The sequence below is a fragment of the Homo sapiens genome, chromosome 9, assembly GCF_000001405.40.
Source record: "Homo sapiens chromosome 9, GRCh38.p14 Primary Assembly".
Classification (NCBI taxonomy): domain Eukaryota; kingdom Metazoa; phylum Chordata; class Mammalia; order Primates; family Hominidae; genus Homo; species Homo sapiens.
Window position 1 is genome coordinate 66,760,622 of NC_000009.12, and position 17,733 is coordinate 66,778,354.

General features: G+C 40.9%; 2 annotated features.

Moving 5' to 3' along the window:
* Positions 10,805–11,352: an enhancer, noted in NCBI's record as "NANOG hESC enhancer chr9:66108832-66109379 (GRCh37/hg19 assembly coordinates)". NCBI's record gives its function as "activates a minimal SCP1, AML or CMV promoter by ChIP-STARR-seq in naive H9 embryonic stem cells {active_cell/tissue: H9 hESC(naive)}" and the evidence as "EXISTENCE:reporter gene assay evidence [ECO:0000049][PMID:30033119]".
* Positions 13,511–14,011: an enhancer, noted in NCBI's record as "H3K4me1 hESC enhancer chr9:66111538-66112038 (GRCh37/hg19 assembly coordinates)". NCBI's record gives its function as "activates a minimal SCP1, AML or CMV promoter by ChIP-STARR-seq in naive H9 embryonic stem cells {active_cell/tissue: H9 hESC(naive)}" and the evidence as "EXISTENCE:reporter gene assay evidence [ECO:0000049][PMID:30033119]".

A 17,733-nucleotide genomic window follows, 5' to 3' on the forward strand; every position in this document is an offset into this window, starting at 1 on the left:
CACACTTGATTAAAAACCTTGCACTCTCTTTCCTATTTGGCTATTTTTTCTCCTCTTGGAGAAAGAGTTTCCCCAAAATACTATATGAAGTGTTATTTTGTAAGCCTACTTAACTTAGTTTTATATACTGTGCACAAACTTTACATATAATTTGAATAGGCTCAGTTTTTTGTTACTTTTTTTTAGTTTTTCACTGAATTTTATATGACAGACTAAGCTAAATAATTTGTTATAGTTAGAAGACTGTTTTCTCATTTACATACCAAAATCTACCAAAATGAATTTATTACACTTAAGAATTTTTGTTAATTACCATTACCACTTCTGTAAAATAAAATAAATCTGTAAGAATTTTATGAGCAAAGCTTTTTCAAGTCTACTATTTAGTTTAGCAATTATTCTAAATATCAATCTCAAAATTAGAGTAAGGGATTTCCCGTTTTAGGAAAAGATATCAATAATTATATAGTAAAAATTTAAAATTAAGATACAGACATTTATTCCGTGTTGGATCCCAAATATCTCATTAGAGAATTATCTTCTCTCATTGTCTGCTATTTTCTAAAATACAGGAAGATATAAAGTATAAATCTGATTTTTTTTCTACCAGAAGTTAAAGAACATAGAATATATTTGGTATGATTAATTGGGAGTTTGTATTTCCTCTGCAATCTAGAAATATTATTATTTTAAATATCTGCAATATTATTTATTTTAAAAGTTTTTAGTTTGAAAAGACATTTCTGAAAGCCCCAAATCTGTGAGCATGTGCTACTACAAAATTTTTAATTGTAAGCAATTGAGAGAGAAAAGTCCTCGAATTTGGCCAAGCGCGGTGGCTCACGCCTGTAATCCCAGCACTTTGGGAGGCTGAGGTGAGCGGATCACGAGGTCAGGAGATCGAGACCATCCTGGCTAACAGGATGAAACTCCGTCTCTACTGAAAATACAAAAAATTGGCCAGGTGTGGTGGTGGGCACCTGTAGTCCCACTACTCAGGAGGCTGAGGCAGGAGAATGGCATGAGCCCGGTAGGCAGAGCTTGCAGTGAGCCGAGATCGCGCCACCGCACTCCAGCCTAGGTGACAGAGCGAGACTCCATCTCAAAAATGAATAAATAAATAAATAAATAAATAAAAGTCCTTGAATTTATGCAAATGACATAGCAATCACTTCAACTCTTAAATAATCTAACCATCATGAGATAAGAGAACGGATTTTTTTCTACTCGTTTGTATCTTGTCTTTTTGAAAGAGACTACTTGTTAATAATATGCTTCTGACAAAACAAAAACTAAGGAAAGTGTATGATACAGGCCTGAGTCTCTTTCCTCAAGTTCACGTTTTAAAAATAAAGCATAATCAGGGATAATGTAGCCTCTACTTGTAAAGGAAGGCTGGCTTTATGTATTAATGAAATAGGCAGCTTCTTACACAATGTGATTTCAACAGAGCCAGGAAGTATGTCTTATCTCTAAATAACTCCCTAAATAACTCCTTCTAACACCAATATCTGAAATGTTGTGACTGATTTCTTTCTGTCCTGCCCTGAAGTTCTTTCCTGACTGCAAAGAACAGCACATTTTGAATGTTTCAAACTGTCATACATGTTCTCTCCAGAAGAGTGGAGTGATGCCCCACCAGACATTCTAAGTCACAGGATAACGTGACATATTTCATGATTGTCAGTTTTACCATGTGGCAAGTAGTTAAAAAGACGAAGTTTATAGTTCCAAGAACACAAACTATGTTATGGAATAGGACGAAACACAAGGAGTAAAGTAGTCCCTTGTTTTTGCTTTAGGTTACTCACCTTGCTATCCGTAATTGTATTCACTGAGGTATTGAGGAACACATTAACGTTGGTTTCAGATTTGTTGACTTTAAGTTCTACATCTGAAGTATGTTGGCACTTTGACCTTGCATAATTCAAAGTCATGTCTCTGCACCACTGTTTCATTCTATATAAAGTGATTGACAATAATAGTTTTCCCACCAAAGTTGGACTTCCATTTCTGTCAATTGGCCAAACTGGGTTTCCTAAAAAGCCTTGTAGCTCTACAAAATATCAGGAAATTATATCAAGTCTACTTTTAAGTAAATGTGAAGCTCTCAAGGAAGCCCTGATGGCAATCCAGAAATAGATAAAAGCAGTACAGGAGCTAGAGTTGCCTGGGGAACAGAAACTGACCTGGGTTACCCAGAGTTTGGGGTATTAACAACTACTCAGGGGAAAGTAAAAGTAGGCCTTGGACACATAAAATGTTGGGAAGGCTGAGCCAGACTTCTTGCATATAGCAGAGTCACAATAGGCTAAGAACATGAATTTAGGAAGGAAAGCAAAAAAATCTACAAGCAGTATGAAAAAAAAAATCTCCAACACCTTGATACATTTTAATGAATCATCAGATGACAAAGAAAAATACAAATTCTTGAAAGTGCCAGAGACAAATCAGAGATTCCTAGAGTGAAAAGAATGTCCACCTTTTAATGGGGTTGTTTGTTTTTTTATTGTAAATTTGTTTAAGTTCCCTGTAGATGTTGGATATTAGACCTTTGTCAGATGGATAGATTGCAAAATTTTTCTCCCATTCTGTAGCTTGTCTGTTCACTCTGATGACAGTTTCTTTTGCTGTACAGAAGCTCTTTAGTTTAATTAGATCCCATTTGTCAATTTTTGCTTTTGTTGCAATTGCTTTTGGCATCTTCATCATGAAATATTTGCCCATACCTGTGTCCTGAATGGTATTGACTAGGTTTTCTTTTAGGATTTTTATAATTTTGGGTTATACATTTAAGTCTTTAACCCATCTTGTGTTGATTTTTCTATATGGTCCATTTTCTGCATATGGCTAGCCAGAGTTCTCCCAACACCATTTATTAAATAGGGAATCCTTTCCCCATTGCTTGTTTTTGTCAGGTTTGTTGAAGATTAGATGGCTATAAGTCTGTGGTCTTAGTTCTGGGTTATCGTTTCTGTTCCCTTGGTCTATGTGTCTGTTCTTGTACCAGTACCATGCTGTTTTGGTTACTGTAGCCTTATAGTATAGTTTGAAGTCAGGTAGTGTGATGCCTCCAGCTTTGTGTTTTTCATTCAGGATTGTTGTGGCTATTTGGGCTTTTTTTTTTTTTTTTGGTTCTATGTGAATTTTAAAATAGTTTTTTTTAATTCTGTGAAGAATATCAATGATAGTTTAATGGGAATAACATTGAATCTATAAATTGTTTTAGACAGTATGGCCATTTTCATGATATTGTTTTTTTCTTATCCATGGGCATGAAATGTTTTTTCATTTTTTGGTGTCATCTCTGATTTCTTTGAGCAATGTTTTGTAGTTCTCTTTGTAGAGGTCTTTCAGCTCCCTGATTAGCTGTATTCCTAGGTATTTTATTCTTTTGTGGCAATTGTGAATGGGAGTTCATTCGTGATTTGGCTCTTGGCTTGCCTGTTGTTGGTGTATAGGAATGCTAGTAATTTTTGCACATCGATTTTGTATCCTGAGACGTCGCTGAAGTTGCTTGTCAGCTTAAGAAGCTTTTGGGCTGAGATGATGGCATTTTCTAGATATAGGATTATGTCATCTGCAAACAGAAATAGTTTCCCAAGAAGGGAGTTAAAACAGGAACATCTCACAGCCATTACAGAAATTGAAGCAGTATTTATGTATCTCAATTAAAACCAAACCACCATAAACGTATTTCTTTGAAAAATATCTTTTTTTTTTTTTGAGATGGAGTCTGGCTCTGTCGCCCAGGCTGGAGTGTAGTGGCGCCTTCTTGGCTTACTGCAAGCTCCGCCTCCTGGGTTCATGCCATTCTCCTGCCTCAGCCTCCCGAGTAGCTGGGACTACAGGCGCCCACCACCATGCCCGGCTAATTTTTTGTATTTTTAGTAGAGCCAGGGTTTCACCGTATTAGCCAGGATGGTCTCAATCTCCTGACCTCGTGATCCGCCCACCTCGGCCTCCTGAAGTGCTGGGATTACAGGCGTGAGCCACTGTGCCTGGCCGAAAAATATCATTTTTAATGCCTGCTAAAATATTCCACTATATGGATATACCAAAACTTACTACGTGACTTAGTAATTAAATGTATTTATATTCTGTCTTGAGTTTGCCTCCCATGTTTCAAATATACTAGTCTTCTCAGTTACATTGTCAAGGCCATTATTTATATTTTGATGGTATTCTCAGCACCAGCTGTTGTGATCATTGAAATGTATTCTTGACCTTAGATGCTCACTGCACACTTGACAGATTGGGAACTGAGTAGAGGTGCTTGTTAGTATCTGCATCTCAGTGGCTGGGGACAGCTGGACTCAGCTTGTGTGACTCATGCAAAGTCAGATGATCAGTCATAGAGGGAACTTGGAACTTAAAAGTGTAAACTGAAACTTACGCTTTTAAAAATTATTCTATCTCACATAGTGAGAAATCTTTATGACTCTTTAGTCTACAAAAGGGATCAGTGAACAGTTTCTGTAAGGTGACAGATGATATGGTATAGAGTAGTTCCCCCATCCATGGTTTCACTTTCTGTGGTTTCAGTTAAATGTGGTCAACTGTGGTCTGAAAATATTAAATGGAAAATTCTAGAAATAAATAATATATAAGTTTAGATTATATGTTGTTTTGAGTAGTGTCCCTCCTAGAACATGAATCACCACTTTGTCTAGCATATCCATGCCTTATACGCTACCTGCCCGTTAGTCACTTAGTAGCCTTCTGAGTTATCAGATTGACTGTTGAGGTATCACAGTGTTGTGTTTAAGGAGCCCTCATTTTACTTAATAATGGCACCAAAGCACAAGAATAGTGATGCTGGCTTATTGTTAGAATTGTTCTATGTTATTAGTAGCTATTGTTGTTAATCTCTTACCGTGCCTAATTTATAAACTTTATTATAAATATATATGTAAAGGAAACACAATATGTATGGTGTCCTGTACTACTGAAGATTTCAGGTGTCCACTGAGGATCTTGGAAGGAATCCCCTGTGGATAAGGTTGCACCACTGTAAATATGTTCAGCTTTGAGGGCAACATAGTCTCTGTCACAACTGCTCTACCTGCAACAGCGCCAGACAAATCTGGCTAAACTTTAATCCAACAAAGTTATGAGTTGGTCTGAGCCCTCAGGCTGAAGGTCATGTAAACTGAGCATGCCCAGATGAACCAAGTATGCAACCACAAGGGGAACAGAAGTGCCCAGACCAAGGAGAAGACCAAGGAGCAGGGACTGAATTAAGAAGCAGACGCAGTATGGAAGGATCCAGGATCCAATCAAATTGAGCTCTGGCATCAGCCCATTGTGGAATCGAATCAGATCATGCCTCCTGGCATCATCTCATTGCAGAATTCAATCAGATCACACCTCATTAGCCTATGCTTATAAAACCCGACCCAAACGTCAGCTGGGGGTGATATATTGGAGCACTTCCTCCTGTCTCCTTGCCAGTCCACTTGCAATGAAGCTTTTTTTTCCTCAAAAGCCAGTGCCATGGTCTTGGCCTCCATGTACATTAGGCAGCAAGCCCATTGTTTGCTCAGTAACACCCTACCTTTGCATCCCTTTGTATCGTGAAAACAGCCACAGAGACAATGTAAATGACTTTTATCTCATTTAAATGAATTGTCAACCTCAGCTAAATTACTACTTATCATATAAACAGAAAATGTAAATAAACTGATTATTTCTTTCCATCCATGTTTTTACTGTCTTCATGTATAGCATGTGTAGGATTTTGAAGTTAACTGTTTCTGAAAACTTACTTGCAAATTTTTCAACACTGCAAAAATTGCTTAAAATAATGAAGCCAAGAAAATTAAGCCAGGTTAAAAACATAAAAGAAGAAAAGGAAGGAGGGCAGGCAGGTAGGCATTTGTTAAAAGCTTCTTTCCCTCAGCATACTATTATTTGCGATTCAGCTGTCTTGTTGTGTTTATCAGTAAGTTGATTCTTGGCCAGGCACAGTGGCTTCACGCCTGTAATCCCAGCTCTTTGGGAGGCCCAGGCACGTGGATCACTTGAGGTCAGCAGTTTGAGACCATCCTGGCCAACATGGTGAAACCCTGTCTCTACTAAAAATACAAAAATTAGCCGGGTGTGGTGGCGGGCACCTGTAATCCCAGCTACTCCGGAGGCTGAGGCAGGAGAATCGCTTGAACCCGGAGGTGGAGCTTGCAGTGAGCCGAGATCTCACCACTTGCACTTCAGCTTGGGCAACAGAGTGAGACTCCTTCAAAAAAAAAACAAAAAAAAAGTTGATTCTTTTTATTGTGAGTACTGTTCCATTGTATACCATTTGTTAGCCCATTTTCTTATTGATGGACAGCTGGGATGTTTAGATGTTAGAAATAAAGATGCCTTGAACTATCATAAGTTTTCATGTGAACCTATGTTTTTTAGTTCTCGTGGGATTAGAACTGCTGGGACAGAGGATCAGTGAAACCTTAATTTTTTTTTTTTCTTTTTGAGATGGAGTCTCTGTCACCCAGGCTGGAGTGCAGTGGCGCGATCTCGGCTCACTGCAAGCTCCGCCTCCCGGGTTCACGCCATTCTCCTGCCTCAGCCTCCCAAGTAGCTGGAACTACAGGCGCCCGCAACCACACCCAGCTAATTTTTTGTATTTTTAGTAGAGATGGGGTTTCACTGTGTTAGCCAGGATGGTCTCGATCTCCTGACCTCGTGATCCACCCACCTCGGCCTCCCAAAGTGCTGGGATTACAGGCATGAGCCACCACCCCCGGCCGAAACCTTAATTTTATGAAATGTTTTTTATGTTCCAGACCTTAACTGATGAGCTTTTAAAACTAACTTCTAAATTTGAAATGTATATTTAATTATGGAATACGCTTTAATATAATCTTTTGGGATAATCACCTAATATTTTGCCTTGAGATTTTTAATATAAATAACAATAAAATAAATAACTAATAGTAAATGAATACCTTCTCAATCTTCCTAACCTTGGAATGTGGGGACAGGATGTGAAAATATCTTAGAGTTTTGAGATCTTTACACGGTTCCCTCAAGGCTTTTAAAAAGAGTATTTAATTGCTGGTAGTGGTAGCTGACGCCTGTAATCCCAGCATTTTGGGAGGCCGAGGCGGGTGGATCACCTGAGGTCAGAAGTTCAAGACCAGCCTGGTCAACACGGTGAAACCCCGTCTCTACTAAATATACAAAAATTAGCCAGGCGTGGTGGCAGGCGCCTGCAATCCCAGCTACTCAGGAGGCTGAGGCAGAATTGCTTGAACCCGGGAGGCACAGGTTGCAGTGAGCTGAGATTGTGCCATTGTGCTCCAGCCTGGGCAACAAGAGCGAAATTTCATTCCAAAAAAGAGTATTTAATTGTGTTGATTTTAATGATTACTGAAATTTTGGCTGTTTTTTTGAAACTATTTCTTGTTTCCTTTCTCTTTCCCTTGTAAATAAGCTGTAAGAGAAAACTGCTTAATCACAAAACGTAACATAAGGCTTTCATGTCAGTGTCCAATAGGAATGAATTTTTTATGGTGACAAGGTAGGGTTATAATCCAGATCTCTGGTAGGCACATCCATAAGGTGCAAGGTGTATAGAAAATAGCATCAGTTTTTTTGGCTGGGTGCAGTGGCTCACGCCTGTAATCCTAGGATTTGGGGAGGCTGAGGACTGTGGATCACCTGAGGTGAAGAGTTTGAGACCAGCAGATATAGTGTTCTTGTTCTCAAAGCCGAGGTGGGTGGATCACCTGAGGTCAGGAGTTCAAGACCAGCTTGGCCAACATGGCAAAACCCCGTCTCTACTAAAAATACAAAAATTAGCCAGGCGTGGTGGCAGGTGCCTGTAGTCCCAGTTACTCAGGAGGCTGAGGCAGGAGAATGGCGTGAACCCGGGAGGCGGAGCTTGCAGTGAGCCGACTGCACTTCAGCCTGGGCACAGAGTAAGATTCCATCTCAAAAAAAAAAAAAAAAAAAGAGTCTAGGATCCAGAGAAGTAAACTGTATTAATGATGTGGTCATATGCATGCCAGAGCTTATTTGGAAATGCACAGAATTGATTCCAAGATGTTTTAATAATGCAATCTGGGGTTTGCATCTCAAAGTAATGATCCATCAAGGATGGTCTTTAGAGCTATTTTCTAACTCACATGCTTAGTGGAGACTCACATCAAAATGCCCTGTTAATAGCAATCAGTAGCTGGTAAACTGAAGCCTGATTCAATTTGTGTCATTTCCCTGCAAATTCGTACTCCATTTCTGTGCTATCACCTGAAGACCACCCACCCAAAGCTATTAGTATACAATATGATGTGTAAGAGAGCTCCATGACTTCTCTGTGGAATAAATTATTTCACCGTATTTTTAAAACTATTTTTCATGTTTATACTCAGAGTAAATGAGCAATGTTACAACTATTCTTCTCTGTAAATTGTCACACCTTAAGTTCCTTAGGATGGCTCAACTCTTTCACTCTTCCAGCATGGGAAATAATTGTTTAATAAAAATAAAACATAACAATGGATTCATGATCCAAAGAAGACAAAATAGAAGATTTTTTGTTTTCTATTTCTCTTGACTCCTCAGCTAATTGTACCACCACTAAACCTTTCTTTATCTCCCCCACCTCACAGGCTTAATCTCTAATGCTGCTCAACATTTTATATCTATGTGGAAACTACCATTTAACTAAATTTTGTTTGATGTGGAAAAAAAATCATTCTTTCAATATTTGATAATTTTGGATAGCTAAGCACTTTTGTTAGATTTTTATGTTCTTCAAGAGAAATAAAATAGAGGCAGTGGAAAGGATTACTTAGTCCCCAGGGGTTGAATACTCACCCGAGGACTCAGTGCATTTGATTCCTGATACTCATTTAAGACCCCTTTTCATGCTTACTTACTAGGACTTCTTAAATTTGTCTTCTTCCAGGTGAAATAATTCAAAACAACTCAAGAATGGAACTACTGATTCATTAATAAAGAACAGAAAATAAACAAGGGCAAAACTTGAGAACATAAATACACAAAAACACAAAGACTCACTTAATTTTTATCTCAGATAAAAAAGGAAAGTAGTTTGCTGAATTTGCCTTTCTACTAAGAAGTCTTCGCTTTCACTTGGTTGGGAGGGTACTTAACATGAAGAAGCAGGAATTCCTGGAAAACAGGCCCCTTCTACCCTAACGTGTTTTCTGTGGGGTCGTTCAGTTATTGTCCCTAAGCAGAGGTAACTGGGAAATAGCCTTGGGCTGTAATTTTCCCATTTTACCTTAAGCAATATCATAACTAGCAACGTGTGACACCCAGGAGGTTTGTTTTCTAGATAACACTCTCTTTACGATATAAGGGCTCTTTGAGAGAGTTAATATAATAAATCCTCAGAGTAAAGTCTAGGATACTCTTTAGAAATTAAATATTACTTGAAACATATGAAAGCCATTCAGCAGGTGACAGAGCTATTTACAAATAGATTAAACATCTTTCAAGTAAATTATTATTTCATTAATGTTGTTAGTGTTTATGCACTAAAACATAGCCCAAAATAACATATTTTATCCTCATATTGTAACACAATTTATGTTACACTTGAACAAAAATCCCTCAGTGTGCAGCTGATTTTAAATCCATCATCAGTTCTACTAGTCAAAAGTGGAGAATCTTTTTGCATTTGTACCTCTGGTAGCCAAAGTAATGTATCTTCTCTCCATGTTTCTTTATCCATCCATTCATTAATGTGCTGTTTTCACATTGCTTCGTTTTGAAATTGTCCATGGCCCAGCTGAACCAAGCAGAAAGATTTCCCAGGCTGGTTGCATTGTATTTCACCTTCTGTTGTCATTTCCTTTGGTCTCGTAAGAATAAAATCCTTTGGTCTCATAAGAATAAAATGAGTTTTTTTTTCCTTCGAGCATGTAGAATATTTTTGGTTATTGTTCAAAAGTGAAGCCACAAATCAAAAAATGTTTTTCTTCTTTGTTTATTTGCTCCTCTAGCAATGTATATTTCATATATGTGAGTGCTTATGTCTAAATTTCAGGTCTACATTCAGCACAGCATCTTCATGGACAGCTAATGAGATTGCAGATGGTAAAGCAGAACATGTGTGGTCATGGGATGAAACTACTCCAAATATCTTATTAAACCCTGACACTCCCCTCTCTCACAGGCCTCCTTTGCATAAACATTTTATATTACATTTTTATAAAGACATAAATAAATGAATACCTCCACTGTAATTTTTCTTAAAATTTAGCATGATTATCTCCTTTGAAGAATAGAATGGTCCTTTAATCAACCAATTAAAATTGTATAACCCACCGGAAGAATTCATATATTATGTTTAATAATTAGTCACAAACCATATGTCTGGGACTATTTAATATTGACTTTAGCTCCATGTATATTATTTCCATCTACTTTTTTATTTTAGTAGGTTAACAGTATGAGTATGAATATATGAATTTCTAAATGGAAAGAGATGTACTTTATTAAGCTTTGGATTGTCAAGGAGAGCAATGGTTAAATATGACTAAGGTCCATTTATATTTAACTCTGCTATTTTTTTCTGGAATTGACAGTATAGGTGAATGCATGCTCATATTGTACTTTCTCCTTTGAAATAATGAAGAAGCCAGACAAAAGGATTATTGCTCGCAGAAGAGAATAGAAAAAAGCAAGAGAACCAGGGAAAGAAGGACCCAATCCACTTTCTCTAAAATTATTCTTGTTTGAGACAATGACTGATTTCATGAGTATCTTCTTACCTCTCTCTGTCTTTTTATGGCATATTTTAAGGTTGATTTTTGAACTGCCTTTATATATGTTTTCTAAGGTTTCAATGAAGGTAAATATGCCTTTGCAAACTATTTCTCAGGCTATGAACCATGAGTGTGTGGGTCAGTGAGTGGCAATGATGACATGCCACACTTGTGGAGAAATAAATGATGAAAGGTTAAATGCTTTTTGCCTTAGATCAGGAAGAAGAGGTTGTTCACTTGTTTAGAATGAACTCTCTGAGTTTCTTTATCTGCTCAGCTTGTAGCCATTGTTTCTGCAGCCACCAGAGACCCAGACAGAAGCGCAGCAGCAGGAGATCCACCTGCATGGGTCAGATTGCAGATGTGGCTTCAATGACATGACCACAGTGTGAAAGTTCCCTGGGGGGCACACAGCATGCTTAGAAAACACACACACACACACGGAGGTCAATGCCTTTATTGGGTCCAGGGCATTATATAAACAGGGAGCTTTAAATTGATGGGCTTAAAGCAAGCAGGCACTAGTGCTAGGAAGTCACATTGTGACTGAAAAGTGTCTAAATGGTCTGTTTAGAGGAATCAGCAGGAAAGCTGGGAGCCCAGCCTGCTACGAGACAGAGATGCCTCCAAGTTTTTATTTCTGGTCACCATCTGGAGCCATTTGGGGGGTATAGTACAGGAAACTGCATCAAGGGTGACTGAACCCTGCTTCTGGTTTGAGAAAGTTAAACACATATTTGAAAATGGATGCTAAGGCAACATAAAACTTTAAGCACTCACTGCAGCACATTTACCTCTTTTATTTACCATTGTATTGGAGGTTCTAGCCAAGATAAGATAATTAAACAAAGAATAAAGTAAAGGCATTCAGATTGGAAAGGAAGAGGTAAAATTAGCTCTACTTGCAGATGACATTACCTTTATATAGAAAACCCCAACAATGCCACTAAAAAAAATTATTGGAACTAATAAACAAGTTCAGCCTGACGGCAAGGTACAAGATCAATATACAAAAATTGTAGGGGCCCGGCCCTGCACAGCGCCCTGGGGAAGCTGGTTTGAAAGCTCTGGAGCGACCCCAGTGCCGGGTAAAGGACAAGATTTGCCCAGACGGAAGGGAACTTGGGGAGAGGTGGCCGTAAGAGTGTGGGATGAAAATGTTTCGGGCAGAGCGGTCGGAACACAGCTGAGGAAAACATGGTGGGAGGAGTCATTAATATGAATGAGTGGCAGGGACAGGGCGTCCTTGCAGCGCCCTCGGTGTTGGAAGGGAAGACCATGCAGCGCGATGGGGATCAGGGCGGCGGGCCGCAGCCGGGGTGGGGTTGGGCGCCGGTCAGGGTGCCTTGAAGCAGATTCTGTCCTCAGGAGCTGCAGTTCTTCCTCCTCCGCCCTCACCGGCGGGCGACCTTAGGCAGGGAGTGAAATGCAACGGGAGCCCTGGAGGGAGGGTGAAGCCGCGCGTGCAGGAGGAACCTCCTATTGGCGAGTTCAGGTCCCCCAGCTGCGGAGGTGGGGGACCCTGTGTGGCAGCCTGCTGAGCGGCTGCGTGCTCCGCCCTTGGAGGGGGGAAGCTGTAGCCCCCCTCCTCTTTTTCAGCCAAGAAACCGCTAGTTACCCCCTTATGCAACCAAGACTGTAATAACCCTGTCACCTTTCACGGCCCTCCGGGTCTGCGCCCATCCTCTGAGTATTCACTTTTCCACCCCGAGGCCTGTTTTCCTCACCTGTTGTCGCTCTGGCAGAACCTAGGCCCCTCGGAGACCAGCCAGCATCTATCTGCCCGCTGTTCCCACCCACCACACTCCCTCCCCAGTTCTATCCCAGCTCCTTAGACGGTTGGAGTTCAAACCTCAGACCATGACAGCACACAGGCCTGGACTCCGGTATGGCCCTGGACAAGTTCCTTAATCTCTCTGAGCCTCAGCTTTCTTCCACGTGAAGCAGCGGTAACATTGTTATTAGGAGCCTCCCGGCCCCAGCACACCGACATACATACAACTGGATATCCATCCTGCCTGTGAGGAGTCGTCTTTACTTTGGGTTGTTTCTTGTCCACAGAGGTCCACACTTTATTTTCCTGGAGGCACCAGCGGAGTCACTGATGCACCCCTGCATCCAGCATGTTTAAGGGAGACAGTCTGGGGAGGGCAGGAAGAGCCTAGAGGGTCCCCTAGTGATTAGGGCTGTGATGGGGATGTTACTGGAAAAGGGTCCCTATCCAGACCCCAAGAGAGGGTTCTTGGACCTCCTGCAAGAAGGAATTTGGGGCAAGTCCATAAAGTGAAAGCAAGCTTATTAAGAAAATAAAGGAATGAAAGAATGGTTACTCCATAGGCAGAGCAGCGGCATGAGCTGCTCGACTGACTATACTTACAGTTATTTCTTGATCATATGCTAAACAAAGGGTGGATTATTCATGAGTTTTCCGGGAAAGGGGTGGGCAATTCCTGCAACTGAGGGTTCCTACCCTTTTTAGACCCTAGAGGGTAACTTCCTGATGTTGCCATGGCATTTGTAGACTGTCCTGGCACTGGCAGGACTGTCATTTAGCATGGAAATGCATTATAATTAGCATATAATGAGCAGTGAGGATGACCAGAGGTCACTTTCGTCACCGTCTTGGTTTTGGCTGGCTCCTTTACTGCATCCTGTTTTATCAGCAAGGTCTTTGTGACCTGTATCTTGTGCGGACTTTCTATCTCATCCTGACTTAGAATGCCTAAGCTAGTGGGAATGCAGCCTCACAGGTCTCAGCCTTATTTTACCCAGCCCCTATTCAAGATGGAATCGCTCTGGTTCGATCACCTCTGACAGGGGCAGTGTACATTCACATCTTGGCCTTTGCTGCCTCATCCTTCCAGATCTTTCAGATGCTTGCCCTCTGGCATTCTAGGATAGGAAGACTGCTTCCAAAGTGACGCAGGATTTTTCTCGGACACTTTTCCAACTGCAGACTTCTGGCTGGCGATGCCCCTGCCCATGCCTAGCTCTGCCCCAGGCAGGAGGTGCCCTGCCCACTTGGGCTTGCACTCTGGTGGGGATCCTGCAGCCACCGAGACTGCATGCTCAGCCCCAGTAGGAGGGGGTGTGTGATCAAGTGAGTGCCTCATCTTGCCAGCAACTCCAAGTGCTGGCACAGGAGCGGGCTCCCTTTGGGGCCTGCAGCTTCATCAGGCCTGTTGGAAGTGACTCCGGGGGTGAACTCTGGCATGCAGATGAAGGGAACTTGGTGGCGCCCAAACAGGAAAGCACTCGACTCTGAAGCCCCAGAGGGGATGTTACAGCCATGCTAACAGCTCTTTTAGTCCCACCGTCAGCAGCCTGACAAACGGGCATGTTAACAATGAATGGGGGGTGTGTTAACAACTCTGTCAGTCCTGTTGCCTGCTCCTGCCAGAGGCTCCCTGGCTGGCCTGGCCCTGCACTGCCTCTCATGGCAAGGGGCTGCCACTGGGCACAGATAGTGGGGGAGGGGTGGAGGGCTATGGTGTTACTGCCTTCTTCGTACCCTTTGCTGACAATGGAAAGGTGAAAAGGGCGGAGAAGAGTTTTATGAAGCAATGAAACAGCTCTCAGCGGAGAGGGGATGCGAGGGTGGTCCCTGACCTGAAGTCAGGTGGTCTCTCTCCCAGCGTGGCTGGGTCCGGGGCTTTTATGGGCTCAGAAGTGGGGACTGCATGCTGATTGGTTTACGAGTATACAAAAAAGGCTAAAACAAAGGAACCATTCAAAGGTGGCATGACAGTGTAGAAAACCACTTAGGGAAGGGTAGATATATATAAAGTAAGTGAAGTGTGGGGATCAGTCAGAGGAAAGTGCACCAACAGGAAGAGATGTTCTCAGCTCGGTCCATGGATTTATCCAAGACTTGTAGCTTAGCTTTTGGGCTTTAAACTGCCTTTGGTTTGAAAGTTGGATTTCATTGGGGACATGCCACTATCTGCCTAGGGGCTTGTCTGACTCCTGCCACTATTAAAAGTACTAAATCAGTGCATCTAGCCTGAGGGCTGCCCCTCATCCACCCAGCAGAGGTTTTTGTTTTGTTTTGTTTTTCTTTTGTTTTAATTAAAATTTTAATTAAAAGGGACTAATATAGAGGGTTTTTAAAAAATTACCATATGTGTTGAGTATTTATGCTATGCCAAGCACTTTGCATATATTTTCTCATTTAATCCTCTAAATAGCAAGGTTGATTGCCTTATCTCCATCCTATAGATGAGAAAGCTGAGACTGAGAGAAATTAAGAAACCCACATGAGGTCATGTTGTATGTAAGTTAGTTTTTGCTGCATCATAAACCACCCGTTTATGATTTCAAACAGGTAATACTTGCTTCTCAATAACTGGATGGGGGCTGGATGGCTAAGGGGCCTCATATTTTAGGGACAGGAGGAGCTCATCGTCAGCTGGGTGATGGGAATGCGACCACAAGTCTCATTATCCAGGAGAGCTTGAACATAGGGGTTGAGTTTCAAAAGCAGCATAAGGGCAGCAACACAAGAACTTCCCATGTCTCACTTATGTCATATTTGCTATTCTCCCATTGGCCAAAGCAGGTCACAAGGGCATGGCCAGCCGGTATGGAAGGGGACAACCAAAGGGGTAGACACAGGGAGTGAGAATTGCTGCCATTTTCCCCAACAAAGAATCTACCATCCATAGCTTCTAAGTGTACAACTGGAAATCAAAACTAAGTTTGTCTTACTTGAAAGTTCAAAACTGTCTTGGAGCTACTGCCCGGGGTCTAGGAATCCAGAACATTCCACACATTGCCTAAGTCAACAACCTGTTGCGCACACACACCAGCAACTGTTTTACAAAAGTATGTGGATCTGGTTGTCATTGATAAAATGCAAATTAATTTAGATGTATTATTCCATTCATAGTATAATTTTGTTGTATTTTCAAATCAACAGATATTTACGTCATTTCAAAGCAGCTCTTCACAAATTATTCATTAGTTACAAAAGGAAGTCACTTCACAGTGGAAAAATCTGGCAGGCGCCACCTTAATCAAGTAACCAAAATGAACATCCTCAGTAATAGGACAAATTGCAATCGTGTGCCTCCTGATAGTCTAGCAAGAAGAACACAGCATCACTTCTATGATGCTCCTGCCAATAATACATAACTGGAATCTAATCCTAAAGCAACAAATTCAAATTAAGGAAAATTCTACAAAATAATTGGCCTGTAATAGAAGTGTAAAGTCATGAAAGTTAAGGAAAGACTGAAGAACTGTTCCAGACTGAAGATGAAAGAGACGTGAGAAATAAGTGCAGTGGTGATTCTGAACTGGATCCTGACTTGGCAAAACTTGAATAGGTCTGTTGGTTGGATGGTAGAAATCTATTAATGTTGATTTCCTGATTTTGCTAGCTATATTACAATTTTATTGCATTCAGTCCTTGTTTATAGAAGACATACAGTATGTAGGGGTTATAGGGAGTCAGGTCAGGAATTTTCAAGTCATTTAGCAAAACAAAAGTTCTTTGTACTTTAATTCCAAGACTTCTATGAATTTGAGATTATTTTTAAAATACTTAAAAAAAACTCCTTTAAAGTCTCTCAACATGCTGTCCTATTAATAATAGATTTCTAAATTTGTTTTTATTTTTATCAAGGTTTTGTGTGCCCATAGTTTGAAGTATTAAATCTTTTTTTATTTATTAAAATATTTTTTAATGTCCATTCAGAGGTAATGAAGTGTTAGTTTTTTTTTTGTGTTTTTTTTTTTTTTTTGAGACAGAGTCTCGCTCTGTCACCCAGGCTGGAATGCAATGGTGCAATCTCGGCTCACTGCATCCTCTGTCTCCCAGGTTCAAGCAATTCTCCTGCCTCAGCAACCCGAGTAGCTGTGATTACAGGCGCCCGCCATCGTGCCCAGCTAATTTTTGTATTTTTAGTAGAGACAGGGTTTCACCATGTTAGTCAGGCTGGTCTTGAACCCCTGACCTCAGGTGATCCACCCGCTTTGGCCTCCCAAAGTGCTGGGATTACAGGTGTGAGCCACTTTGCCTGGCTTGAAGTGTTAGTTTTGTCTTTTTTTTTTTTAAAGAAAAGTAGTTCCCTTATCTCCACTTTCCCCCTTTCCTGCACCTCAGAGGCAACTGCTTTCAGCTGATTACTTTGACAGGTATGACCCTATTTCCACATAATTGCTTATGTCATTATTTTTTTCTTTTTGAGGTAGGGTCTTGCTCTGTTGCCCAGGAGTGCAGTGGCGCGCTTGTAGCTCACTACAACCTTGAACTCCTGGGCTCAAATGATCCTCTGGCCTCAGTCTCCTGATAAGCTGGGACTACAGGTACATGCTACCATGCCTGGCTAATTTATTTTCACAGAGACAAGGTCTCACTATGTTGCTTGGGCTGACCTCTAACTTCTAGGCTCAAGTGATCCTCCCGCCTCGGCCTCCCAAAGTGTTGGAATACAGGTGTTGAAATCAAGTTTAGCCTAAAGCTGCCTCCTTATATATTTAAGTTTGGCCTAAAAGTTTGTCTGTATATTGTGACAAGTGGAGGTGTAAACAGACTACACTTGTGCCAATCACTGAGTTTTGGCCAATCAAATGTAGCCAACTGTTCAAACCATGTTCAGATAAGGCAAATGCCAAGCTGCAGCCAAACCCAGCTGTTTCTGTACCTCACTTCCATTTTCTGTCCATAAACCTTCCACCGCGTGACTGTGCTGGAGTGTCCGAGCCTACTCTGCCTGGGAAGGCTGCCCGATTCTTGAACTGTTTGTTGCTCAATTAAACTCCTTTAAATTTAAAAAAAAAATTGTATTTCTCTACTCTAGCAATGAACACTTCAAATTAAGACAATTCCATTGATAATCGCATCAAAAAAGAAAATGCTTAGAAATTAATTATTCAAAAAGAGCAAAAGTTATACCCTAAAACTACAAAACATACTTGAAAGAAGGTAAAAAAAAAAAAAAGGAGTAAATAAATGACAAGACACTAATGTTCAGAGATTGGGAGACATTAT